This window comes from Homo sapiens, chromosome 20 (assembly GCF_000001405.40).
Source record: "Homo sapiens chromosome 20, GRCh38.p14 Primary Assembly".
NCBI lineage: Eukaryota > Metazoa > Chordata > Mammalia > Primates > Hominidae > Homo > Homo sapiens.
This window is the reverse complement of record NC_000020.11, coordinates 63,735,580-63,758,927: the sequence shown is the minus strand read 5'-3', so window position 1 is coordinate 63,758,927 and position 23,348 is coordinate 63,735,580. Positions and strand designations below refer to the sequence as shown.

At 61.5% G+C, this 23,348-nt stretch overlaps 4 protein-coding genes and 1 long non-coding RNA gene across 20 annotated transcripts in view, besides 13 other annotated features; 1 reads left to right on the top strand and 4 right to left on the bottom strand.

The window, feature by feature from the left end:
- The window catches only part of ZBTB46 (zinc finger and BTB domain containing 46), a 90,226-nt gene extending 74,968 nt beyond the window's left edge, over positions 1-15,258 (top strand). For 8 of the 10 annotated variants that reach the window (XM_011528548.3, XM_005260197.5, NM_001369741.1 and 5 more), the window contains exons 4-5: positions 6,067-6,242; positions 11,627-15,258. In XM_011528548.3, coding sequence (XP_011526850.1) covers positions 6,067-6,242; positions 11,627-11,998 — 548 coding nt within the window. In that variant the 3' untranslated portion in view covers positions 11,999-15,258. Of the gene's footprint in view, positions 1-6,066; positions 6,243-11,626 lie in introns of those variants that run through there. The other 2 variants (XR_936500.3, XR_001754167.2) reach the window with 2 other exon arrangements.
- Positions 4,285-5,234: an enhancer, noted in NCBI's record as "H3K4me1 hESC enhancer chr20:62385047-62385996 (GRCh37/hg19 assembly coordinates)". NCBI's record gives its function as "activates a minimal SCP1, AML or CMV promoter by ChIP-STARR-seq in naive H9 embryonic stem cells {active_cell/tissue: H9 hESC(naive)}" and the evidence as "EXISTENCE:reporter gene assay evidence [ECO:0000049][PMID:30033119]".
- Positions 5,235-6,186: an enhancer, noted in NCBI's record as "H3K27ac-H3K4me1 hESC enhancer chr20:62384095-62385046 (GRCh37/hg19 assembly coordinates)". NCBI's record gives its function as "activates a minimal SCP1, AML or CMV promoter by ChIP-STARR-seq in naive and primed H9 embryonic stem cells {active_cell/tissue: H9 hESC(naive and primed)}" and the evidence as "EXISTENCE:reporter gene assay evidence [ECO:0000049][PMID:30033119]".
- Positions 6,187-7,137: an enhancer, noted in NCBI's record as "H3K27ac-H3K4me1 hESC enhancer chr20:62383144-62384094 (GRCh37/hg19 assembly coordinates)". NCBI's record gives its function as "activates a minimal SCP1, AML or CMV promoter by ChIP-STARR-seq in naive H9 embryonic stem cells {active_cell/tissue: H9 hESC(naive)}" and the evidence as "EXISTENCE:reporter gene assay evidence [ECO:0000049][PMID:30033119]".
- Positions 12,977-15,103, bottom strand: ZBTB46-AS2 (ZBTB46 antisense RNA 2). The gene is made up of 3 exons (NR_186425.1): positions 14,200-15,103; positions 13,253-13,400; positions 12,977-13,105 (listed from the first exon to the last, which is right to left on the bottom strand). It is a non-coding gene; the product is annotated as a ZBTB46 antisense RNA 2 (long non-coding RNA).
- Positions 14,878-19,152, bottom strand: SLC2A4RG (SLC2A4 regulator). The gene is made up of 8 exons (NM_020062.4): positions 18,890-19,152; positions 18,397-18,551; positions 17,449-17,558; positions 16,872-17,059; positions 16,698-16,798; positions 16,313-16,592; positions 16,138-16,229; positions 14,878-16,049 (listed from the first exon to the last, which is right to left on the bottom strand). Exons 1-8 carry the CDS (start codon positions 19,013-19,015, stop codon positions 15,938-15,940), a joined length of 1,164 nt encoding a protein of 387 aa, NP_064446.2. The 5' UTR covers positions 19,016-19,152; the 3' UTR covers positions 14,878-15,937.
- Positions 18,035-18,734: a silencer, noted in NCBI's record as "silent region_13186". NCBI's record gives its function as "represses an Ori minimal core promoter by ATAC-STARR-seq in GM12878 lymphoblastoid cells {active_cell/tissue: GM12878}" and the evidence as "EXISTENCE:reporter gene assay evidence [ECO:0000049][PMID:35858748]".
- Positions 18,745-18,894: a silencer, noted in NCBI's record as "silent region_13185". NCBI's record gives its function as "represses an Ori minimal core promoter by ATAC-STARR-seq in GM12878 lymphoblastoid cells {active_cell/tissue: GM12878}" and the evidence as "EXISTENCE:reporter gene assay evidence [ECO:0000049][PMID:35858748]".
- Positions 19,145-19,644: a silencer, noted in NCBI's record as "silent region_13184". NCBI's record gives its function as "represses an Ori minimal core promoter by ATAC-STARR-seq in GM12878 lymphoblastoid cells {active_cell/tissue: GM12878}" and the evidence as "EXISTENCE:reporter gene assay evidence [ECO:0000049][PMID:35858748]".
- Positions 19,825-23,227, bottom strand: LIME1 (Lck interacting transmembrane adaptor 1). Of its 3 annotated transcripts, none has more exons than NM_001305654.2 (6): positions 22,742-23,227; positions 21,281-21,395; positions 21,026-21,107; positions 20,868-20,920; positions 20,429-20,745; positions 19,825-20,330 (listed from the first exon to the last, which is right to left on the bottom strand). In NM_001305654.2, exons 2-5 carry the CDS (start codon positions 21,376-21,378, stop codon positions 20,448-20,450), a joined length of 531 nt encoding a protein of 176 aa, NP_001292583.1. In that variant the 5' UTR covers positions 21,379-21,395; positions 22,742-23,227; the 3' UTR covers positions 19,825-20,330; positions 20,429-20,447. The 3 variants fall into 3 exon arrangements, with proteins under 3 accessions (NP_001292583.1, NP_060276.2, NP_001292584.1); NM_017806.4 differs by lacking the exon at positions 22,742-23,227 and adding an exon at positions 22,216-22,264 and having other exon boundaries at positions 20,868-20,955; NM_001305655.2 differs by lacking the exon at positions 22,742-23,227 and adding an exon at positions 22,216-22,264.
- Positions 20,369-20,963: an enhancer, noted in NCBI's record as "LIME1 eExon fragment used in the reporter construct". NCBI's record gives its function as "weakly activates a pGL4.23 vector minimal promoter by reporter assays in HepG2 cells" and the evidence as "EXISTENCE:reporter gene assay evidence [ECO:0000049][PMID:25340400]".
- Positions 20,649-20,708: a silencer, noted in NCBI's record as "silent region_13183". NCBI's record gives its function as "represses an Ori minimal core promoter by ATAC-STARR-seq in GM12878 lymphoblastoid cells {active_cell/tissue: GM12878}" and the evidence as "EXISTENCE:reporter gene assay evidence [ECO:0000049][PMID:35858748]".
- Positions 20,789-20,938: a silencer, noted in NCBI's record as "silent region_13182". NCBI's record gives its function as "represses an Ori minimal core promoter by ATAC-STARR-seq in GM12878 lymphoblastoid cells {active_cell/tissue: GM12878}" and the evidence as "EXISTENCE:reporter gene assay evidence [ECO:0000049][PMID:35858748]".
- Positions 21,009-21,228: a silencer, noted in NCBI's record as "silent region_13181". NCBI's record gives its function as "represses an Ori minimal core promoter by ATAC-STARR-seq in GM12878 lymphoblastoid cells {active_cell/tissue: GM12878}" and the evidence as "EXISTENCE:reporter gene assay evidence [ECO:0000049][PMID:35858748]".
- Positions 21,009-22,079: a biological region, named in NCBI's record as "H3K27ac-H3K4me1 hESC enhancer GRCh37_chr20:62368201-62369118".
- Positions 21,163-22,079: an enhancer, noted in NCBI's record as "H3K27ac-H3K4me1 hESC enhancer chr20:62368201-62369118 (GRCh37/hg19 assembly coordinates)". NCBI's record gives its function as "activates a minimal SCP1, AML or CMV promoter by ChIP-STARR-seq in primed H9 embryonic stem cells {active_cell/tissue: H9 hESC(primed)}" and the evidence as "EXISTENCE:reporter gene assay evidence [ECO:0000049][PMID:30033119]".
- Positions 22,659-22,838: an enhancer, noted in NCBI's record as "active region_18250". NCBI's record gives its function as "activates an Ori minimal core promoter by ATAC-STARR-seq in GM12878 lymphoblastoid cells {active_cell/tissue: GM12878}" and the evidence as "EXISTENCE:reporter gene assay evidence [ECO:0000049][PMID:35858748]".
- Positions 22,786-23,348, bottom strand: part of ZGPAT (zinc finger CCCH-type and G-patch domain containing) — a 28,701-nt gene continuing 28,138 nt past the window's right edge. For all 5 annotated transcript variants that reach the window (NM_001083113.2, NM_032527.5, NM_001195654.2 and 2 more), the window contains exon 7: positions 22,786-23,147. In NM_001083113.2, coding sequence (NP_001076582.1) covers positions 23,009-23,147 — 139 coding nt within the window. In that variant the 3' untranslated portion in view covers positions 22,786-23,008. The remainder of the gene's footprint in view (positions 23,148-23,348) is intronic.

Here is a 23,348-nt window from a genome sequence, read left to right as displayed (position 1 = left end):
AACCCGTCTCTATTAAAAATTCAAAAAAATTAGCCGGGCGTGGTGGCGGGCGCCTGTAGTCCCAGCTACTCGGGAGGCTGAGGCAGGAGAATGGCGTGAACCCGGGAGGCGGAGCTTGCAATGAGCTGAGATCGCACCACTGCACTCCAGCCTGGGCGACAGCAAGACTCTGTCTCAAAAAAAAAAAAAAAAAGATGTGACTCTCCTTAAGTTGATATATTGGGTCAGCACAATTCTGGTTAAGATCCCAGCAGAGGGGTGTGTGAGTGCCCGTGCGCGTGCGTGTGTGAGTAAACTGACTGCTAAATATATTTGGAGATGCAAAGGATCTAGGATAGGGATCTAAGGGCACCTGGGGATTTGTGTTAATCTGGTGTCGTAGGACACAGACACAGAAATAACTCATAAAGGGAAGAAGTTTGTTACACTCACCAATTTCCAGAATAGCAGGCCCACCAGCCCAGGCAGAGACACATGGGGAAGCACCAGGGTCAGTCAGGAGGCAGAGGGAGAGGGGGAAATGCAGGCCGGAGCCTTGTTTGGTTTCTGTGGGGAGGAACGGGCAAGGCAGGGTAAGCTGGTTTGGGATTGTGTGATTTGAATAATTTCAGCAGGCTCTGGGCATAGGAGCTGTGTCTAGTTGTATGGCCCAGGGGTGATTAGGGGAGGGGATACTGGCTGTAGTGTGAGAACCTATGGAGCAGGAGGAGGGAGTGTGAGCTCTGGACGGGGCGGGTGGGGGGAGTGTGAGCTCTGGACGGGGCGGGTGGAGGGAGTGTGAGCTCTGGATGGGGCGGGTGGAGGGAGTGTGAGCCCTGGATGGGCAGGTGGAGGGAGTGTGAGCTCTGGATGGGCGGGTGGAGGGAGTGTGAGCTCTGGATGGGCGGGTGGAGGGAGTGTGAGCCCTGGATGGGCAGGTGGAGGGAGTGTGAGCTTTGGATGGGCGGGTGGAGGGAGTGTGAGCTCTGGACGGGGCGGGTGGAGGGAGTGTGAGCTCTGGACGGGGCGGGTGGAGGGAGTGTGAGCTCTGGATGGGCGGGTGGAGGGAGTGTGAGCCCTGGATGGGCAGGTGGAGGGAGTGTGAGCCCTGGACGGGGCGGGTGGAGGGAGTGTGAGCTCTGGATGGGTTGGTTCACCTGTGAAAGGTGCACTCAAAGGTGATTCCGACTGCTATCTCTAGGAACTGGGAGGGGAAGTTCCTGCAGGGTCATGGAGACCCCAGATGTCAGGGCATCAGAAACCTGGAAATAAAAGCCAGGGTTCCTACACATGGCTAAGGTGATCTTGGAAAGGAAGGAGAAAGCTGGAGGACTGACAGATGCAGACATCAAGGCTTCTAGTGCTGCCGTCGTGGAGACGCTGTGGTGGTGATGCAGGGTAGACACGCCGCCAGGGCCCGTGAGGCACCAGAAAGCCCACTCTGCAACTCAATGTGGGACAGATGGTCTTTTCAAGATATGGTGCTGAGTGACTGGACATTGACATGGAGGAAAAAAGTGAATCGTGGCCAGGCGCGATGGCTCACACCTGTAATCCCAGCACTTTGGGAGGCCGAGGCGGGTGGATCACCTGAGGTCAGGAGTTCGAGACCAGCCTGGCCAACATGGCGAAACCGCGTCTCTACTGAAAATACAAAAATCAGCCTGGTGTAGCGATGAGTGCCTGTAATCCCAGCTACTCGAGAGGCTGAGGCAGGAGAATCACTTGAACCCAGAGGCGGAGGTTGCAGTGAGTTGAGATCGCACCACTGCACTCCAGCCTGGGTGACAGAGCAAGATTCTGTTCCCCTCCCCAAAAATAGGGAATCTTGACCCCTAGTTCTGACCAAGCACAAAAATTACTTTGAGAGGAATCATAAATCTTTGGAAAATTGGCAATATCTGCGGAAGCCAAGCAGGTGAACACCCTGTGGTCCAGAAGCCCCCCTTCCCCGCCAGGGCATGCCCAACAGAAATAATGAGAACTTAAGTCACCAAAAGACACATGTAAGAGCCATCAGATCTCCATTGTTCAATAGGCCCAAACTGGTATCTACAGGATGGACATGTGGCTTAGTGGTGTCATGGAGTACCACGCACCACAAACAACCACATCCTCCTCCAGGCAGCAGTGCGGGCCACATCTAGTGAAGAAAGCCCAACACGAGGGTAGGATCCCACGTATACGAAGCCCTAGGGCAATAAAACGTGTGGTGATTGAGGGCAGAGGGTGCTCTCTGGGGGTTACAACTAGGGGAGGGCCAGAGGCTTGTTCGAGGGTGCTGGGAACACGCAGTGCCTGTTTGGCGATGTGTGGTGTATGTAGATAAAGTTCATTGAGCTGTATACGTATTTGCACTTTACATAAGGCTTAAAACGTTTTTGAAAATAATCTGGACAGATCACAATTTCATCACATTCTAACACAGAGTTAAGTGACAGCCTAATACATTTGTAAACAAAAAAACAAAGAACAGTTGATGTTTGGATCCCTTTCGGAGATGCTCTCAAAGTGCAGTCTTTTGAAAATTATATCCAGACCAATTCAATATCCAGATGGTTTTGTGATGAAGACTCAGGAAGCAGCAAACTTGAACCCTCCGAAGATGCCTTGTCCCCTGTCTGCCCGTCTGAAGCCAACTGCCAGTCCATTTGCTTCACGGCTGGTTTCTTGCAGTCTTTGACACTATCATGAAAAGGTTCTGGAATGTTCCCTGGTACAGTGGCTATTTAGGACAGGTCCGATTCTCCTGGAGCGGAAAGCGCACTGGGAGGGGACAGAGGAAGGGCCAAGGGCAGGTGGCCATGCAGCCGACTTGGCTTGGTGCAGGGAGGCCAGAGACCTCTGCTCTTCCCTGAGCTTAGGGGAGGCCTCCAGTCCGGCACGAATGACTGCAGTGTTTTCACAGGGGCAATTCTGTACAGTCGCAGCCGGATGTCGCTGAATGTCCTATTTTAGGGGGTCCACGCCAGCTCTGATAGCATCGCTTCTCAGTTACTCTTTTGGAAGTTGGCCTTTTCCTTGCGAGAACACCTGATTCCTGGCAAAGGGTTCCGTTTTTAGGACAGGTCGTGAGAGTGCCCGTTTCCGTGTAATGATCTTTATGCTTTTTTATTTAATTCCTGTTACCAAATGGACTTTAAAGGCTTCCCAGTGTTTATGAGAATGAAGCTACGTGATGTAAGTTTTTTCTAAGATATATAGACTGTAAATCACAAATAAATCATGGAAGGTGTTGTTTCCAGTAAGAAATTATTTTAGTAATGACAGCCAGTGAAATTCCCTCAATGATCACAGTACTGTCAGTCAAATGTCGTGGGTTGAGCAGTGAACACTCCGTCCTGATCCTCAGAGCTTGTGGATGTGACTCTTTGGAAAAAGGTCTTGCAGATGTGATAAAGGATCTCAAAATGAGGTCCTCCTGCATTGTCCAGATGGGTCCTAAGTCCAATCACAAGTGTCCTTCTAAGAGAAGAGGAAGAGACACAGACAGAGAAAAGGCCACACAGATGGTGGCAGAGACTGGAGCGATGCGGTCACAAGCCAAGGGGCAGCTGGAGCTACTAGGAGCTGAAGAGGCCGGAGGGACCCTCCCCGGAGCTACTGGAGAGAGCCAGCCCGTGCTGATGCCTTGATCTCTGACCTTTGGCCTCCAGAACTGCAAGAGAGTGGACCGGGCTGTTCTGAGCCTCACGCTTTGTGGTGCTGTGTTATGGTAGTGACCGGAAAACAGAGCATTAAGAAGAAGCCGAAGTGCATCGCAGGCAGCTTCAGCACATGCAGGTGGTGAGGGGACCGTCCGCAGCTGCGGCTCTGCCCTGGGTCCGTGGCGTTTATTCTCACGGGGTTATTAACGCTGAGTCCTGCTCATGTCCATTCTAAGTTGTTTTTCTAGGTAAAAAAATACAGGGTTTCTATACAGAGATAAATATTTAACATGTAGGTCTGAATTAAATAAAAATGGCTAAAATATATAATTCAAAATTTTAATTTTCATGTTTATATAGGAAGAGTAGAAACCATGAATGAATATATTCTCAAAAGAGTTTTGGCCAGGCGCGGTGGCTCACGCCTGTAATCCCATAACTTTGAGAGGCCGAGGCGGGCGGATCACGAGGTCAGGAGATCGAGACCATCCTGGCTAACACGGTGAAACCCCGTCTCTACTAAAAATACAAAAAATTAGCTGGGTGTGGTGGCGGGCGCCTGTAGTCCCAGCTACTCGGGAGGCTGAGGCAGGAGAATGATGTGAACCCGGGAGGCAGAGCTTGCAGTGAGCTGAGATCGAGCCACTGCACTCCAGCCTGGGTGACAGAGTGAGACTCCGTCTAAAAAAAAAAAAAGTTGTTTTGGGCCAGGCACAGTGGCTCACACCTATAATCCCCATCACTTTTGGAGGCCAAGGCGGGAGGATCGCTTGAGCCCAGGAGTTCAAGACCAGCCTGGGCAACATGGCGAGACCTCATCTTGTTTAAAAAAAGAGAAAAAAAATGCTGTTTTAAATAAACTAATAGAAAAACTCATTTCCTTGCTCTCCTTTTCTAGCCTAGAATGTGTGGAGCGTTTGCTCTGTTGGGTGTGATAATGCGAGAACCAGGCGCTGTCAGGGTGAGAAGGGTGGCCTGGGGGACGGTGGCGGTAAGGAGAAGTCTCTTGTTACTGACTCACGGAGGAGAGCCAGGGGCACAGTGTGGCTGACAGAGGACAGGCCAGGAAGAGCTTGGGATTTCCTCGTCAGGAGCCACTCGGGGGATGTGCGGCGGGGACATGCGTCCGAACACAGCCAGCTGGTCAGAGGTGCTGCCGTGCCAGGCGGGGCCTCCGGGGTTTTCTGTGTCTTGGCCACACAGACATGCTCCAGTCTCACAAAATGAGCGCTCCTGGCAGATGCTGAGTTTCCTGTTAGAGCTGCCTTTTGGGAGATCCTTGTCATGGGGGTGTGCCTGTCCACTGGAGCCCCCAGAGCCTCAGTAGACCCTCCCTGCAGGGCAAGTGGGGACTGCTGGTCAGGAGGGCAGGTGCTTATCCCACTTGTCAGAATTTATCTTCAGGAGGTGGCAGAGGGCTGCAAAGACCCATCTGTAGGAGCCTCACTGAAGGGTCCACAAGGGTGAAAACACAGAAACGTGTTCAGCAGTAGTGCCTGTTTAATTAATTATGATGTGTTCAGACATCCAAAAGCTGTGTAGTTAAAAATCCCAGCACTGAAAGGTGGTCACAGTATGCAGAGGGGAAGATGTCCTGCACAGCAGCAAGTACATGGTAATCCCAGGGTGAGCAGCCCTCGGCACATGCGTGCACCGGGCTTCAGGTGGGTCTCCCGTAGGGTCCCGTGGACGTGGCTGCTCCGGGCTCTCTCAGTGGCCCATGCCCAGGTCTGACGTGCTGGTATCTGGGCCTGAGTAGCATAACGGCACTGGGCGTGCTGAGGGTCCCCCAGGTTTTTGAGCCTGGCCCCAGGGCACGCACCATGGAGATGGTGGTGTGGAGTTCCTGCCACTGAGTGACGTTGGGTCTCAGGGTTGGGGGAAAAGAACTTGATTAAATGGGTCTGGCTGCTTCTCCGGCGTCCAGCAAGAAGAGCCCAGGACTTTGAGTTGCACCCACATCTCCCATTTCGCCTGCACACTTTTGGGTCCGTATTACTCCACAGTGTTTGTTTCTTCTCTGCCTCCAGGGAGGCGTCTGATCGGACACCACGCCCAGGGCCTGCTACCCACACATGCCCAGTGGGGTCTGAGGGCTGGAAGGAGGGTCCTGCAGGGACCGGGCACTGTGTTCAGCATTGGCCGTTCTTACCCCTTGCCTCCTGCCTTTGGCCTGGATGGAAAGATCTCCTGAGAGCTGGGGCTCCTGAGCTCCCTGGGGCTCAGCCTTGCTGGCACCGCCCCTGCCAGACAGTGGGTGGGACAATTTATGCAGATGGTGGGGGAGCCTGGCCTGTCGCAGTGCTGACCAGCCCCCAGTGGGTGGCCGTGGGAGACAGCCCGTCCTGGCTGCTGGGCTGCGGCGTGCAGCCGTGGTCTGTGGGCCGCAGGGCGGTACATCCCAAGCCCTGCTGACGCCTCGCGGGTCCCTCTCTTTCAGTGAATGAGTTCACGGTGATCAGGAAGAAGTTCAAGTGTCCGTACTGCAGCTTCTCGGCCATGCACCAGTGCATCCTCAAGCGACACATGCGCTCGCACACGGGAGAGCGGCCCTACCCCTGCGAGATCTGCGGGAAGAAGTTCACGCGGCGCGAGCACATGAAGCGCCACACGCTGGTGAGTGCGGGGAGGGTCCGCGTGCCGCGCGCTGCGCGTGGCCACGATGTCCGGGCAGGCGGGTCCTGATGAGGGCGCAGACCGCCCCGGACCCCACACCGGGTCCACTCTGCACAGGGGGGACGACAGCAGGGCAGGGAGATCCGCCCCGGGCCCCTGTCTGCTCTGCCCCGGCCTCCTGGGTGTGGCTGGGCCACATGGCCCCTGCAGAGGCTTCGGCCCACCCTGCTCACCTGCTGGCCGCCAAGGCAGCCAGGCCTCGGCAAACTCAGCTCGCTCTGCTTGGAGCCCCCAACCCTCAGCCACCTCTGCGCCCCCCCGCCCCCGCCCTGCCTCGGGAGGGAGAACCCTGTCCTTGTGCCTGCCGACCTGTCTGCACCCACCGCGCCCACCCTGGAGCTCAGCACTGGCAGGTCGTTGTCAGGTAGCAGGTGTGGAGTGGATGGATTTGCTTGGGGAGGAAATAATAGAAAAAGGCAGCCTGGGAACAGGGAGGCAGATTTGCCAAAAAAGGCCTGGCGAGGGCATCTCAAGTGGGTGAGATCAACCAGTGAGGCGGGTGGGGCACAGGCAGCCCAGAGCGGGGCGGCCCCAAGGGTTCGGGGAGTCCTGGAACGCCCACCCCGAGGCGCAGGGTGCAGGGGGAGCTCGCGGCGGGCAGCTGTGTGAGGAGAGGCAGTGGAGGCGCCCCGGGCTCCGGGCAGAGGTGGGGCTGCTGTCGGGGCGGAAGAGGCTCTGGAGCATCGCTGCCAGTTTAGGAATCGCAGGAGAGTCAGCAGGTTCCGGAGCGGACCTGCAGGAGCCGAGCTCCACCGGGAGACCCACCGGGGGGCGGGGCTTCATGGGAGACCCACCGGGGGGCGGGGCTTCATGGGGAGACCCACCGGGGGCGGGGCTTCATGGGGAGACCCACCGGGGGGCGGGGCTTCATGGGAGACCCACCGGGGGGCGGGGCTTCATGGTGCGACCCACCGGGGGGCGGGGCTTTATGGGGAGACCCACCGGGGGGCGGGGCTTCATGGGGAGACCCACCGGGGGGCGGGGCTTTATGGGGAGACCCACTGGGGGGCGGAACCGAGCGCCAGAGGTCAGGTTCTGTTGGTTGCTGCTTTTCCAGTGCAGTGGTGGATACCCATTTGGGGTAACGACCCCTGTGGGAGCTCCCTGAGGTCAAGCTGCAGAGCTAGAGGGGTGCAGGGCCCTGGCCTCCCCGTGTTTGCCTGGCCGGCTGTGGGCGAAGGGCCACTCCAGGCCCTCGGATGCCGCCTGGGATGTGTGCTGGAGTGGATATGGAGCGGGGCTTAGTGCTGGGCTCTGGCCTTCCCTGATGCCCCCACATTTGCCTTTGCGAGGTGGAGGACAGTAGAGAAGGAACAGTCCTGGGAGGGGGCCCCTGGACCACGAGATGGCAGGTCTGCAAGGCCAGAAGCAGACCCACATCCACGCGGAGCCGCCGGGGCCCCAGCCTTGTTTTCCGTAGCGGAGGATGTGCTTCTGTTCACACAGGCCACAGGGCTGATCTTACAAACCACTTATAAAAAGCCGCGGGGGCGGGGGGAGGGGTAGCTGCACCAGGCCGACATGTTTCCTATTCAGAGAAAATCGCATCTTGTTTTTTAAACTGATAGGTGCTAACACGTTTTAACAACATGGATTGCAACGTCTTTCTTCAGCAAATCCGTATTAACCTCTCAGTAAACGTTTTGATCCTGTTTGAGGTTCAGTGTGGCTGCCTGTTCCTTCTCGTTGGATAGGGTTAGGGTTTGTTTTTTTGTTTTTTTTTTGAGACAGGGTTTCACTGTGTTACCCAGGCTGGAGTGCAGTGGCGTGACACAGCTCACTACAACTTTGACCTCCCGGGCTCAAGCGATCCTCCCACCTCAGCCTCCCAAGTAGCTGGGACTACAGGTGTGCACCAACATGCTCAGCTAATTTTTGCGTTTTGTGGTGATGGGATTTCGCTGTGTTGCCCAGGCTAGTCCCGAACTCCTGGCCTCAAGTGAGCCACTTGCCTCTGCTTCCCAAAGTGCTGGGATTACAGGTGTGAGCCACTGTGTCCGACCAGGGCTGGGATTTTTGTCCTGGGGTTCATGATTGGGCTTCAGGGGGTCATAATTCCCTGGAAAATGTACTTATAACATATGGAAAGCCAAGTGTGGTGGCACATGCCTGTAATCCTAGCACTTCGGGAGGCTGGGGCAGGAGAATAGCTTGAGGCCAGGAGTTTGAGACCAGCCTGGGCAAAATTGCGAGACTCTGTCTCTACAAAAAATTAAAAAAAAAAAAAAGTTAGCCAAGTGTGGTCCCAGCTACTTGAGAGGCTGAGGCAGGACGATCACCTGAGCCCAGTGAGGTCCAGGCTGCAGTGAGCTGTGATTGCACCACTGCACTCCAGCCTGGGCAACAGAGTGAGACCCTGTCTCTAAAGAACAACAAACACAAGCAAGCATATGGGGCTTGACTTTTTCTGAGGAGAGGCTCTGTGTGTGGCCTTCTCTGGGGTCCTGGACCTGAGAGCGTGGAGACCCGAGTGTGAGACAGCAGCTCTAGCCGGTCCAGCCTCCACTTTCACGATGGCACTTACGAGCACTGTCAGCCCTTCCCTGGCCTGGGTGGCCCCTCCACCCGCTCCAGGAAGAGCACCAGTGGCTGGGGCAGGGCCCCCCATGCCTTGGCAGGGCCACATTTGGAGGGTGGGCCAGCCGTGCTCTTGCAGCCACAGTGCCCCAGAGCCTGGGCGGGCTGCCAAGGTGTCCCGTCTTCCTTCTTGCTTCCTTCCAGGGCATTTGCCCATTTGCATGAGTTCCCAGCCATCCAGCCCTGGCCACATGGTCCCTGTGCCACCCCAAGCTGCCCCTGCTGCCTCCTCAGGTGCCCTGGCCCCTGCACACATGGGAGCCTAGGCCTCAAGGGGCCTCAGTGTTTTTCACTAGCCCCGCTCCAACCCTTCCTGGGCCTGTGTGCACCAGGTTACTGTGCTGGGAAGTTTCTACTGTGGCTTGTCTTGAATTTTTGTTCTGGAAGTCCTTGGTTTAAAATACAGCAAAACAGGCTGGGCGCGGTGGCTGACGCCTGTAATCCCAGCACTTTGGGAGGCCAAGGCGGGCAGATCACGAGGTCAGGAGATCGAGACCATCCTGGCTAACACGGTGAAACCCCGTCTCTACTAAAAATACAAAAAATTAGCTGGGCGTGGTGGCGGGTGCCTGTAGTCCCAGCTACTTGGGAGGCTGAGGCAGGAGAATGGTATGAACCCGGGAGGCGGAGCTGGCAGTGAGCCGAGATGGCAACACTACACTCCAGCCTGGGTGACAGAGCGAGACTCTGTTTCAAAAAAATAAATAAATAAAATACAGCAAAACAAAAGCCCAAAGGAGCAGTTCTGGCACCAAGTTGTCTGAGGCTCTGTTTCTAGGGTTAGCGTGTTTGGGCATCTGAGGTGTGCTGTGTGGTGCTGCCCTGGCCCTGAAAGCCACCAGCTGCCCCTGAAGGTCTCACATCCCTGGACAGCGCCCATCCCGGTCCAGGCTTAGAGCTCACACAGTTGCTCTGGAAGCAGACATTTGAGAAGTGAGGTCTTTATGGTTCCCGGCTTTGTGGAAGAAGTTACAGGCACCTCTGCCCTCAAGGAAGCGGGTCTAGAAGGGGAGGTCGGGCCGTGCTGGGTGGCCTGTCGGCCTGTGGATTCGGAACACTGAGGCAGGAAGTACGTAAGGGCCCGGGTCCAGCCCCAGGATGGGGAGGTGGTAGCTGTGGTGCCTGCCCGTCAGAGGTCTTTGCAAGTGTAGCAGGACCGTCTTCCGCCATGACACACATTGATTATGTATGTACTTGCTCATGGGAGAAAACTGGTGAGTTTGGAATGGTTTAAGGAAGAGCTAAACTCACAAGCACATCCCAGCCTCAGTTCTCCGTGCAGCCTCAGAGGTGCTGCAGGCCCCGGGAGACAGCCCTGTGGATGGAGGGAGGAGCCGAGGGGAGCCTGGGGTCATTGCCGGGTTCAGCCTGGAGGACTGACCTGAGGCCAGCCCACCTCAGAGAAGCCCCTCGTGTGGACTTGGCCAGGGGCCAGGGGTTGCTATTGGGGTCCTCTGTGGGTCCTGCCCTCTCGGTCCTTGGAGGGCAGAGACAGGGGCTGTGCTGTGAGGGATCAGGGCCAGCCCCCCAAGGCCTCCTCTAGCTGGCGTGGCCGAGGGTGCCCGTGAGTGGGTACAAGGGCCACCTCTCCCCATCCCTGGCCATGTCTGAGGTCTGGTTCTGCACAGCACAGGTGTCCACACCCACCCTCAGCGGAAGCCCACCTGGGGCCACATGTCCCCAGCAGTGTGTGGTAGTTCCCTCAGGCCTTGAGGCCAGTGCTGAGACCCTCCAGGAACCCAGCACCTCGCGTCCTGCCACATGGGCCCTCTTCAGGGTGCTGCCCCATCTCCCTGCCGGGCCCAGCACAGGGCACAGCACGACTGCCCTCCCTGGCAGCCACACCTCCTCCTCTGACCATAAGTGCTCATCTCTCTTCTTGCATGTCTCAGTCGACCTTGAAACAGCCTGAGAGTGGGGGAGTTGCCTCCTTTACACGTTCCTGGAGTCAGGGTCGGGCTGAGGGGTCAGGGACTGAGGGGGTCAGGGGCTGAGGGGGTGTCCACGCAGCCAGGCTGAGGTGTGGGCCCACCTGCCCGGCTGGCAGCCCCAACCCCGGCCCGTCCCTGTACGGCTGGGTACAGGAAGAGCTCTGTGAGCTCCAGTCCAATGCGGGGCCCTCAGCCTGTCCTGCAGGGAGGTTTGGAGGAAGCCAGGCTTTTAGGCAGAGGCCGGTGGTGTGACCCCCGTGAGAAGTGTGTCAACCCAGGGGGCCTCTGGTGGGGGTGCTTGGACACACAGTGTAGACGCTGAGACTGGCCCACCTAGGGGCTGGGTTTGCGGGGGAGGGGCACTGCCGCCCTCGTGCCAGCATCCCCTTGGGACAGGGCTGCCTTGGTGCCACCTGCAGTTCTGCTGTGTGGCTCTGATAGGAGCTGGGGCTCAAGGTCTGAGCACTCCTGTCTGCGCACCTCCCCCACCAGGAGTCTCTGCCTGTGCAGACACTCGGAGGGCCCGGGAGGCTGTGCCCCCCCAACCCCAACCGGGCCCTGCTCACCCCCGCACCCCCCCCACCCACCAGGCCCTGCTCACCCCCTGGCCCCCCTCCCAACCTCCACCGGGCCCTGCTCACCCCCTGCCCCGCCCCCCCCACCTCCACCAGGCCCTGCTCACCCCCTGCCCCCTCTTCCAACCTCCACCTGGCCCTGCTCACCACCTGCCCCCCCCACCTCCACCAGGCCCTGCTCACCCCCTGCCCCGCCCCCCAACCCACCAGGCCCTGCTCACCCCCTGCCCTGCCTCTGCAGGTCCACAGCAAGGACAAGAAGTATGTGTGCAAGGTGTGCAGCCGCGTCTTCATGTCCGCCGCCAGCGTGGGCATCAGGCATGGCTCCAGGCGCCACGGTGTGTGCACCGACTGTGCTGGCCGCGGCATGGCCGGGCCCCTGGACCATGGCGGCGGAGGCGGCGAGGGCTCTCCAGAGGCGCTGTTCCCAGGCGACGGGCCCTATCTGGAGGACCCTGAGGACCCACGAGGGGAGGCGGAGGAGCTGGGCGAGGACGACGAGGGCCTGGCCCCTGAGGATGCGCTGTTGGCGGACGACAAGGATGAGGAAGACTCGCCGCGGCCGCGCAGCCCCCCAGGAGGCCCTGACAAGGACTTCGCCTGGCTCTCCTAGGCCCGCCCGCCGGCAGGGTCGGTGGCTGCCTCGCTCCGTCCACCCGTGTGTGTGTCCGGTGGGTCTCCACTGCGGGGCCAGGGCCACGCTCACCCCTCTCGCGGCCCCTCCTCTGCTTCCCCCTGAACCCACCCCCCACGGAAACCAGCCCTGCGGGCTAAGCAGGTGCGACCCCAGCAAGAGGGGTGCTCTGGGACCAGACATGAAGTGAGTTGGGGGAGGGCACAGGGTGGGTTTGAGTGAAGGGAGAGCACGGTCCTAAGTCCCCAGCAGGTGGTGCGGGTGTGTGAGTGGCCCCTGTGATGGCCAGCCTGGCTTGGACACGTGATGGGCCTGTGGCCGGGTCCAGTGGGCACTGGGCGGGGTGGTGTGTTCGGCCCAGAGGCCCCTGGCCTGAGCAGGTGCAGAGTTTTACAGACACCCGGTCAGCCCGGCTGGAGCCCGCCCTCCCCTCCCCTAGCAGCCAGGTCACTGCCTGTGGCTGCAGCCGTGGCCCGTGGTGCAGCCGTGGCCCATGGCAGCCTGTAGAATCCAGGTGCACAGAGAGCCCTGCCACCGTCTTACCTCTGGGCTTTGGTGCTTAACACACAACACAGCTGCAGACCCTGCTGGAGGCCGAGGGCTCCAGGTGCTATCTTAGGTGGACACAGCCCTGGGGGCTCCTTCCAGGAGGGGACCCTCAGCCCTGTGCCCCCCACCACTTCAGGCCACACCAGGTTCCCTCTGCAAGGGCCTCGGCTCAGTCGTGTGCACTTCCTCGGAGAGCCTTGGGCTGCCACGTCCACCCCGGGCTCTGCCCGTCCTGTTCTGCCCATGGCCCAGCCCGGCCGCTCCTGCTGACCCCTCCTGGACGGGCTGGAGCTGGGCTCCTGCCTTTGCTGCTAACACTGGAGGCGGTGTTCCTAACTGCAGTGTGCTGCTTACACCTCCCCGCGTGGGTAACCAAATTTTTAAGTAGTCAGAGACATATCGAGGTAGTTACATAAAATTATTTTGTTTGGCATTATTTTTCTCACTCGAAGAAACTATATAGGGTTGTTTTTCCTTTAGCTTGTGCTCAAGTCCTCTTGCTGTGTTTTCAGAAGCACTCACATGTTCTTTCTTTTCCTGAGTGAAAAGCAAAGGTCCCACGGTGTGTGCTGTGGTGCACCGCCTGGCTTTGGGGGTCCCGGAGGCAGGCTGCCTAGACTCACAGCCTCGGGACCGTTGCCACGGCCTGTCTTCTCGTTCAGGCCTGCCTCTGACAGCACTCACCATGAGGACATTCCATCCTTCACCCCCTCCTCTGGCACAGGCCACCACTGCGGTGCTGTGCCTTCAGATGGGAGGTGGGCGCGGTGGCCTCCTCCTTCCCTCCAGGACCTGCCCGTGTGAAGACCCCCCGGAGTGCTGAGCTTCAGGGCTGCGTGGAAAGAGTTTTTACTCTCTTTTTCTAGCCTGTATACCAGGCTTTTCCCCACATTGTCAGGTAGAGCACCAGCTTCCCTGACCGCTGCTGCTCGGGGAGGGCTGGGGCTGGCCGGGGGTCCTGTGGAGGAGTACATGGAGGACTCCAGGTACAGCGCAGGAGTCACGGCTTTTGTTTTTTGACATTGGCCCCCGGTTCTACCAATGACAGGGTGCCCTGGCTGGAGCTGTCATCACACACACCCCTCAGCTCGGAGGCTGTGGGCTCCTCAAAGCTGGAGAAAGAGGCCAAGATTTTTCTGCACACGGAGTGTGGGGATAGGAGCCGGGCCAAGCGCTGGCCCCTCAGCGGTGAGCCCTGCCCACTCTTACCGAGCAAGGTGGGTGGCTCTGGCACGAGTCCCCCAGGGGGAGAGCATGGCTACCAGGGAGCTGCAGCGGAGCCCTCCAGCCCTCACCCCAGGCCAGCCCCACCCCGGCCTCTTTGAGAATTCTCAGAACTTTGTACCTTTCCCCTGATTTTTAAACCCTTTTTCTAAACAGACTGACTTTCTTACAAAATGCATTTGGAAACCAGACCTTTGCTACCCACCAATGTCTCTGGGTTTTGTACCAGTCCCTGCTCTCAGGCCACCCTGCCCAGGACCCAGGCCCGCCTCCCCCTCCACACTCAGGATGTCCTGCTCCATCTGGCCGGCTCACTCCGTGTGGCCTGCCTTTGCTGACCGTTTTGGGGTTCCCCGCCGGAGCTACAGGGGCATTTTCTTCCCTAAAACCAACAGTGTCCCACTGACCTCCCCAAGTGTTTGCTGCGTGGCAGATTTCCTGTTCTTGTTCGCAGTTTGCCGACTGAAGAGTGTGGGATTTCCGAGGCCCAGGTGAGCACGTCCATCTCAGGAGGCGTGGAGGGAAAAGACATGTCATGAAGGGTTTTTTTTATGTGACTGATTTTTTTTTAAATCGATGTTCAAACTAATAAATATTTTTTTATGAAGAGGAAAAATGTGTAGATTACATTTCACATTTTGTATTTTTGTTTGTGTCTGTTTGTATTTTGGTGTTTACAACACCAAAGTGGGAAATACAGTCCATTGGGGATGGTGTTATTTGGGGGCGGGGAGGGGGCAGGGACACCACGATTTTTCTGTCAAGCTCTGGATCCTGACCAGGTTGTACACTGGGGCTCTCTGAGCTTTGGGACACAGGACACTGCCAGGGCTACGTAGGGAACTGACTCAGAAGACGCAGCTTACTGCTTCCAACTTTGCACATCTTCCTCTTTAAAAAACTGAGAAAATGCAAAAACTGGAACTTTTTGCAATATTATAAAAGAAGTAATCTTATTTTAGCTCATTCTGTGACATGTGCGACTCTTAAGAAAGCCATACTTAATGGTGGTGGTTTTTTTTAGATCTTATATTGTGTTTTGTATGCAGCCCTTTTAGAACTACTTGTAGTGAGGGTGCTGTGTGTGCTTTTCTTAAATATTTATTTTTTTCAACATGCTTTCAACCTGTCAACAAAAACAAAACACACAAAAAAAGGGCAGTGTTTGAAGATTGTTGATTTTTTTCTGGGGATAATCTATATTATATTGACTTCCTATTACTTATTATAAACCTGTGTTTGTATTGGAGATGTGTCTACTATTGGGGGAAGAGGTTCTCGTAATCGCTCGGTGGGAAATCATGGCTCTGCCGTCCTGCCTCTCTGTGGCCGTGGGTTCACGTGGCCTCTGCGGTGAGTCTCCAAGTTTCTGCCTAGGCGCCTGTGCGTTTCCTTTCTGTGACGGGATTAGCTTAGACATCCTTGCAAAGCGATCACTTTCAATAAATTGGGAAATTGCTGCTCCAGCAGATGCCTCCTGCGTCTCAGATGATCCTTCCTCCGGCCTCGCCTGGGGTGGCGGCGGCCGACGGGTGACCCTCGGCCCTCTGTGGGCAGCTGCCAGACTCCACCCACTTGCCCACCACAGGGTCCCAGCCCCACGGCCTTCCTCCCGAGAGGCAGACAAAGCTTCTGGAAAAACCTCAAATCTTTAATTTCTCTCTTCGCCTGGTGCAGCCCAGACGTGAGACACCTGAGCTTCAAAAACAAACATGGTAAAAACAGCCCCAGGGCCCGAGAGCCGTTGAGTTAAGTGCGAGTGGGGGAGTCCCCTCTCCAACACCCCTCAAAGTGCATCGGGACTGGCCCCCCAAAGCTGGGCCCATAACACCCTTGATAAATCTACGGGCCGACAGGCGGGAGGGTGGCTGCCCCCAGGGCCCTTGGGGCTAAGGGGACAGCGGTGTGGTTTGGCTTTAGTGCAAAAAGCTGGTTTCTTTAGAGGCACTTTGAGTGGTGGGACCCCTCCCCGACCTGGCGGGGGGGAGGGTTCAGGGTCAGCCCCGCCCCCCCACCCCAAGTAAAAGCAGACCCTGCAGCTGGTGAAAGCCAGCCCCTGGGGCTGTCCTCGGGCTGTTTCAGCCCCGGGCCTGGAGGGGGTGGGGAGGGAGAAGGTGGTAGCTTATGTTCTTGAACGAGCCGGACTTAGTCCAGGAACCGCTGGCAGGCTTTCTTCCAGCGGCAGGCTGTGCACCAGAGGTCCCGGCGCTCCATGCCATACACCTTCCGGCACTTCTTCGCGTCGCCGCGGGGCTTCCTGTGCGGGGGGTCACAGGACATGGGGTGCTGTGAGACCAGGACCCTCCCCACCTGGTGCCAGCCGCAGGCCCTCAGCCCACACGCACCTCAGGGTGACTCCGATCCTGGAGGACAAGGCGGGTGGGCAGGCTCCGACCTCCGTGGGCTGCGGCTCCAGGCGGGCGGGCGTCAGGCAGCCCTACAGGGAGACACAGCCAGGGCTTCACTCCCCTCCAGAGAGCCCTGAGACCCGCCCCAGCTGCCACCCGTGGCCTCACCCACCTGGTAGACACGGTCACTGTGACAGGACTGGGGGTTAGCAACGGTGCTCAGGACAGGGGGCGGGGGCAGGGGCGGGGCAGGCGGCCGCAGGGGACTAGGCAGGGCTGGGGGCTCCAGCAGCTCTGGCAGCTCCAGGCGGGGGAAGGCAGGCGGCATGGAGGCCGTGGGGGACACTGGAGTCAGGCTGGACAGCCCGTCGGTCAGCGTGTCCACACCAACATCCAGCTCTGTGTAGTAGAAGTCCTCCTCACCATCACTCTGCTCAGGCTCTGCCTGCCTCCTGCGGGAGACACAGCCAGCCAGTGGGAGCTGAAGGGGTGGCCTGGCCGGGCCTCACAACCCCAGCCAACCCGCAGGCCCCGCCGCACCCCAGGCCCCGCCGCACCCCAGGTGCACCAGGCGGATGTGTCTCTGCATCGCCGACGCCGTGCTCAGCACCTTCCCGCAGCTCTTCCACAGACACTGGAACATGACCTGGGCCGGGCTCTGCAGCAACAGGGGCCAGGGTCAGGCTCAGCCGCCACACCCGCCCCTCCCTGGGGGCCGCCCCCAAGCTCACCTTCCTTTTTCTCAGGGTGGGCTCCCCAAACAGAAAGTGGGCTGCCTCGGGGGGCAGTGGGGGTGACGGGGTGGACGGAGAGGACTGGTCACTGGCCAGGTCCCATCCCCAGTCTCCACTGTTGCTGCTGCTGCTGTAGCTGCCTGGGGGCCGCACCAGGGCCTCCTTCCAGGGCTCCAGGCCAGGCTCTGTGGGGACACGGGCCCCCCGCCTTAGAACTTCGGGTGGGTCCAGGGAGTCCCTAATCCTGAGCTGCCCCTGTTCACCAAGTCCGGTGAGACTGGTGGGCAGAGCGTCTTGGAGGAGCTGGCCCCAGGGCTTGGGGAGAAACCCCCCCGGCACAGGAAAGGGTTGGCAGACGTGTGTGGCCAGCCGCGTGGAGGTGAGCAGGTCAGGGAGGCCAGAAGGCCTGGGTCCTGCCGCTTTGGCCTCAGTAGGGGGCACTGAGGGTGCGGGAGTCCATTTTAGAAAGGAGTCCCAGGTTTGAGGGCTCTGCTTGCCCCACAGAGGCTGGGTGGCTGTAGGTTCTGAGCCCTGTCCCCACCCACACCCCTAAATGCAGACATCTGAGTCTTACCTGGGCTGAAGGCTGCAACCGGGGCCCCCAGAAGGAGAGGGCTGGTGGACAGGCTTGTAAGGGCAGCGGCAGCCATGACCTCGTCCAGCCGGGCTTTTCCTGGGGTGGCTCTGGAGGAGATGGGGGCGGGGTGCGGGTGACCCAGCCAGAGCTCTGGGCCCCTCCCCTGGTCGGTCCACGTGCAGGCCTGGGCACGCGTGCACACCAGGCTCCCCACTCCCAGCCCTGGGCATGAGGCCTGGCTCCTCCCCCAGCTCAGGTTGCAGAGAGAGCTGAAAGCCACCCGGAGCCGCCAGGAGCAGGGCCAGGGTCTCCTGAAGCCTGAGTTCTCCACATCGCGGGCTTGGCTCCACTGTGGTTCCTTCAGATACTGGGGCTGGGCAGGGGTCTGAAGCCCTGGCAGAGGGGCGGGCCAGGCCCAGGCCTCCCCCCATCACACATTAACCAGGGTTGTGCAACAGCAGCTGTGGGCCTCACGCCAGGCCTGGGAGGTGGGAGTGGCCAGCAGCCGGCAGCAGCCAGGGGGAGACTGGGCTGGAAGCACGGGCAGCTCCCCAGGCCCCAGCGAGCCAGGCCAGGGCCCGCCCCTGCCCTGGCAGCCAGACCGAGGTGTCCGGCCTGGCAGGGGTTGGGAGGTGGCGGTCAGGAGCCCCAGGGATTCCTGGACAGTCGCCCCATGCCGACCGCGCAGCCTCTTCTGCACAGAGACGCACAGCCACCCGCTCCGGGTTCTGAGCTCTAGCCCCGAGGAACTGCGGTGGAGGGAGGTGTAGGGACTCCCAGTCATCGATCATTTCTGCTCAGCTCCTCCAGGGCTGAAGAGCTTGGGGGTGGCTGGTAATTACAAACCTGGGGCCCTGACCTGGCCTCCGTCGGGGCCGGTGTCTCCGCACCCCACCCACCGCCCCTGCGCACACCGAGTCCCGAGGCACCGGGCCTCCCGCTCACCTCTGCGCTGGGACGGGGATGTGCGCCGACGGAGTCCGGGGCCCCGCCGCCGCCCCCGTCCACGTCCGGGGGGCCCCCAGGTCCGAGGCCCGCGGCTCCGACTCCTGCGGCCGCGCGAACTCCAAGCCCGCGAAGCCGCCGCCCACGGAAGAGCCCTGCGGATGGGGAGGGGGCAGACTCAGCGGAGGCGGTGGCCGGGGGAGGGGGGTCCCTCAACCTCCGCCGCGGATCCGCTCGGCGCCCGCCTCGAAAACCGGCTGCGGCCGGTGTGGACGGCGCGGCCCCGCCCCCGGCCCCGCCCCCAGCCCGGCGCGGCGGGAAGGGCTCCCCGGCCGCCCGGCGCAGCCCCGGCGGGACCCACGGACACGCGCGGACCGACGCGGCCGCCCTCCCCGCTGCCCCGCCCCCGGGGGCCCGAAGTTTGGGCAGCACTGACGCCATCTTTGCAGCGAGAGAAACTTGGTCGGCGCCCCCGCCCACCGGCGCCCGGTACCTGCGGCGGCGTGGGCACCGTCACGGGCGCGGCGCGCGGCCCCGGACCCTCCGCGCGCAGCCACGGCGCCTCGGCCCGCAGCGCACTGGGGTCCCGGCCGGCGGCGCGGGGCGGGGGGCGCTCCATGGCCGGCCGGCCGGGCGCCGAGGCTGCAGCGGCGAGGGCTGACTCTCAGGACGCGGCCCCGGGCCGGGCCGGGCTGGCCGGGCCGCCGACCCCCGCCCTGGATCCGGCCGCCGCCCGCGCCGCGCCGCCCGGAGGCTGCCCGGCCCGCCCCGCCCCGCCCCGTCTCGTCCCGCCCCGCCCCGCCCCGTCCCGTCCCGTCCCGGCGCGCGCATTGGCCGCGCGGCGTCCACACCGCAGGCGGGCGGGCCCGGCCGGCCGCGCTCCCGCCGGCCAGCGCTTCGAGGCCCCGCCCCGGGCCCGCCCCCTCCGGGTCGCTCCCGCGCTGGCCTAGGGAGGGAGGCCCGGCCCGGCACAGCTCCGAGGCCTCCGCCCACCTCGCGCGCCCGCGCGCCCCGCCGGGGAGGGCCCGTTCCCCACGGGCGCGCTCGCAGAGCTGCCAGAGCCGGGGAAGGGGCCGCGATTGCTTGGCGGGCTTCCCGGCAGCAGGTTACTCTTTAACGCTCGACTGCCCACCTCCACCACCCCTTATGTAACACCAGGCTGGGTGGCGGAGCCCTCCCGTGGAGTCCAGGGTCCAAGTCCCACCCGGGGGCGGCCACCCTGCCGGCTGCGCTGCCCCCTAGGAGTGGCTGGGACCCCGTGCCCGCACTGACCGAGAGTCTGGCCGGCAGGAGCACCGCCTCGGCTAGGCCCGGGCGCCCCGGGGGCAGCCAGTCCCCCAAGGCCAGAGGGGACAGCTCCAAGCCTTCCAGAGAAGCCCCCCGCCCCAACCCGCCCAGCTTTCAAGAAGAGCAGGCTGCGAGGCTGGCCGCTTTCATCCTGCGCTGGCGCTTTATTTAGACGCGGGCCTTCTCTGGAGCCCGGGGAGGCCGCGGCTGTCAGAGCGGCCAGGACCTCACGGACCTCACGGGCTGGCAGCCCGGGGACCTGGGACTGGCGCTGTCAGCTGTGAGGCGGGGCGGGGCGGGGGACGGGCCTCACTCTGGAGGAAGGAGCACAGGTCCTTGAGTGTTCAGGGCAGGGAGGCAGGGAGGGGTCTCCAGCCCCTCCCTAGGCTGGGGCAGCTGGAAGCAGGGGGCGTCCCAGCCCCGCACGTGCTGCTCCTGCCAGCAGGGTCCCCCAGCTCCCGGATGCTCTCATACACGTTTTCCAGGGGGCCGCTGTCCACATCCAGGGCCCTGAGCGGGAGGGTCTGGTAGGCCAGGTCACCCGCCAGGGCCAGAATCGCTCCCTGGCCCTTGGGGTCCAGCGGGTCTGTGGTGGGTCCTGGGTCCCTCCTTTTAGGCTTGCAGACCCTGGAGTACAGGACGTCCACCTGGAGACAGGAAGCCAACCCGAGGAGGGGTCAGCACCATCCAACCTGCTGAGGATCTGCCGGCCCCACCCACAGCGCCCTACCCTGGCCCACGTTACCTGAGCGGCCGGGGTCACCTCAGTCTTCCCCTGCTGTGGCTCTTGGGGACTGCGATGGGTCCCTTTGCGCTTCTGGACGCGGGCATACTCGGCCACCACAGGGCTGGCCGCCAGGCTGACCCCGGGAAGGGCCGCCAGCCCCACGTTGGAATAGGTGGCCTCGAGGCCAGCGCACCCTGCGGTGGCTGCAGCTGCCGGCAGAGCCCGGGGCAGCTCCTGGTGTGGGAAGGCAGAGGGGGCTGCCTGCGGTCCGGTGATGTCCCTGGACACCTCCAGCCAGTGTGGGCGCAGGAGATCCATGCTGGCAGGCCGCAGGGCTGGGGGTGGGGTCAGGGCAGAGTTCACTCCGGGCAGGGGGCAGGAGCGGGTCTGGCCCAGGGGTTGGCACGCGCTGCACAGTAAGCCCCGCCCGGCCGCCCCCGCCCCGCCCTCTGCTCACCCCTGCTGCTGCGCGGGCCCCGGTGCAGCTCGTGCAGTCTGGTGTCCGACTTGCTGAGGGAGCAGAGGTGGGTCCGCCTCAGTAGGGACTGGGGGCGAGGAAGGCTGGTCGGTGCCCTGCGGACCCCACCCTGGTCCCCGGGACAGCCTGGCACTCACCGCTTCCGCCGCCGTCGCACTGCCCTGCAGCCTCGCCCGCTGCCTCCGCGCCCTCTTCCTGGGGGCTACAGCGTCCTCGGGCCTTGGGGGTAGAGGTGGGGGGCGGGGGGCGGGGTCGTCAGCCTCGGGTCCAAGGCCCGGTGCAGGCGCGCGTGCCGAGCTGGGTGCGCGGACCTGCCTCCAGCCCCTTCCCGCGCTGGGCTGTGAATGGCAGCCGCAGCGAGGCCCCAGACAGAACGCGGCTGAGGGACCTACCTGCGGCAGGCTGTGCACAGCGCCCACAGCGAGAGGAGCAGGGCGCAGCACCCTAGAACCCAGAGGGCAGGAGGGGCCCAGGACACTGGCAGCCCCATCCTGTGAAGCCGAGGCCCTGGGGACAGAAGAAAGGGGCGCTGGGGGCTGGCCAAGGGGACCTGGCGCCACCTGGCAGCCCCAAATCTGCACCTCCCGCGGCTGCGGGGCTCCTGCGTCTCCCGTTCCAGCTCTGACTCAGCACAGGAAGCCCCAAGGCCTGGCAGTCCCTCCCTCCCAGAGGTGCCCACCTTCTGGCGGGGGCTCCCGGTGAGGTGAACTAGGGCTGCTCTGCCTGGCCCCTCCGTGTCCCTGCGGGTGACCACGGTAACACCCAGCACGGCCGTGAGGAGGGGCAAGACAGCTGTGGCCACCATAGCCCAGATAGTAACCAGCATCGGGGGAGCCCCTGGGTGTGCGCCACAGGCCACAGACTCCACCTGCAGCCACCCTCTGCCCAGACATGGTCTCCTGTGTCAGGTAGTGCCCCCAAGCCGCTCGCTGCGGAGCCCAGAACTGGGAAGAGCTGGAGGCTGGTCAGCAGGAGGGACCCTGCACCCGGAGGAGCTGGAGGCTGGGTCAGCAGGCAGCAGCAGCTGCTGGGGGTGCTGATGCCCCCACCCCACTTCTCTCTGGCTCTTCTTGTCTGCCAGTGTCTCTGCCAGAGAGGATCTGTCCCCTTCTTGGGGATCTTAGCAGAACTTCTCGGGGTGGGGGATGCCTTACAAACAGCACAGTCCAGCAGCAGAGACAGAAGCTGGGGGGTGAGGGGTGGTCTCTGGAGTTTGGGGCCAGTCTGCTCAGACCCAGGGAGTGGGCTTCAGCCTGGCTGACTGACCCAGCTGCAGCCACATCCCAAGGCCTCCCAGACCCCAGCTGCCCCCCAGGAGGGCACTTACCAAGCCCACGGCCAGGGGTCCTCAGCTCTGTCTGGGGCAGGCCAGGAAGGTCTTTGTGCAGCCCTCGGCTGAGCTCCCCACCTCATCACTTCCTGCTCCTGTCGCCAAGCGCCTCCCCTGAGCCTCCCACCCTGGGCAGCAGCCACCACCGCAGCCTCACCCACCTGCTGCGCCCCGCCCGAAGCCTAGATGAAACGTGTGCGCCTCTAGCCCGCACTGTTCTGACAGCCTAACTCACAACCCCTCCACACACGAAGACGTGAGCAGAGCTGGCACAGAACCCCCAAACCCACAGGGCCAGGTCCGCCTGCCTCACCAAGAGTGCCCCACGTGGTGGGCCACAGTCCTCTCCCGCCCGTCTCGCCCGCTGGAGCAGCACTGAGCTCCACCCATCTGTGGGTGTCAGGCAGCCTGGCGGGCACCCTGGCCTCCGATCTGCCTTGGTCAGAGAAGGGTAAGAAGGGAGAATGCCGGCCTCCTAGGCCCCTCCAGCCCAGCCCGTCTCTCACCACAGCCCTGCACAGACCCTTCTCTCCCCAGAGACCCTGCAGCCAGCTGATCTCCACTGAATGACACTGTGATGAAATCACTTTAATGTCCTTGCCAAGGAAATGCCCAAGACACTGGCAGGTGGGCAAGTAAGTGTCCAGATGGGACCCCGCAGCTCTGTCTCCACTCAGCAGTGTCTGCACGCCCCAGGCCAGCAGGCCGGCCCCTCCTCGGGCAACACTGGTCTTCCTGAGGGCAGCCCGTGCTGGGGTCCCACGCTTCGTCCATAGTGCTTGTGGGGTCTCTAGAACTCAGTCATCTTCTTGTGGGTGTCTGCCTTCCTCTGCTCCTGCTGCAGGCCGGCTTCCTGAGCCCGGAGCTGCCCCAGCTGGCGCTGGGCTCCTGCCAGCTTCTCCTGCAGCTGGGCTGACGCCACGCTATGCCTGCGGAGGGGCTCACTAGTCAGCGTGGGGTCCTGGGCCATGCCACCAACCCCAGTCTGCCGTACCCACTGCCTGTGTGCCCGCTGCCCGTCCTCCAACATGCAGACCCCTCCTGGACTCAGCCCGCTATGCTTGGGTCAGGTGACCTCCAGCATGTATCCCGGGGGCAGGGCCACCCTGGGTCGCCCTTTGCCCTGAGCT

Coding starts and splice junctions, on each gene's coding strand:
- SLC2A4RG (NM_020062.4), bottom strand. CDS start 19,015: ATGGAGCGCCCCCCGCCCCGCGCCGCCGGCCGGGACCCCAGTGCGCTG. Junction 17,559..18,396: donor ATCCCCGTCCCAGCGCAGAG/GTGAGCGGGAGG, acceptor CATCTCCTCCAG/AGCCACCCCAGGAAAAGCCC. Junction 16,230..16,312: donor ACAGTGACCGTGTCTACCAG/GTGGGTGAGGCC, acceptor GTCTCCCTGTAG/GGCTGCCTGACGCCCGCCCG.
- LIME1 (NM_017806.4), bottom strand. CDS start 21,378: ATGGGGCTGCCAGTGTCCTGGGCCCCTCCTGCCCTCTGGGTTCTAGGG. Junction 21,108..21,280: donor CTGTGCACAGCCTGCCGCAG/GTAGGTCCCTCA, acceptor TCTACCCCCAAG/GCCCGAGGACGCTGTAGCCC. Junction 20,331..20,428: donor AGGTGACCCCGGCCGCTCAG/GTAACGTGGGCC, acceptor TCCTGTCTCCAG/GTGGACGTCCTGTACTCCAG.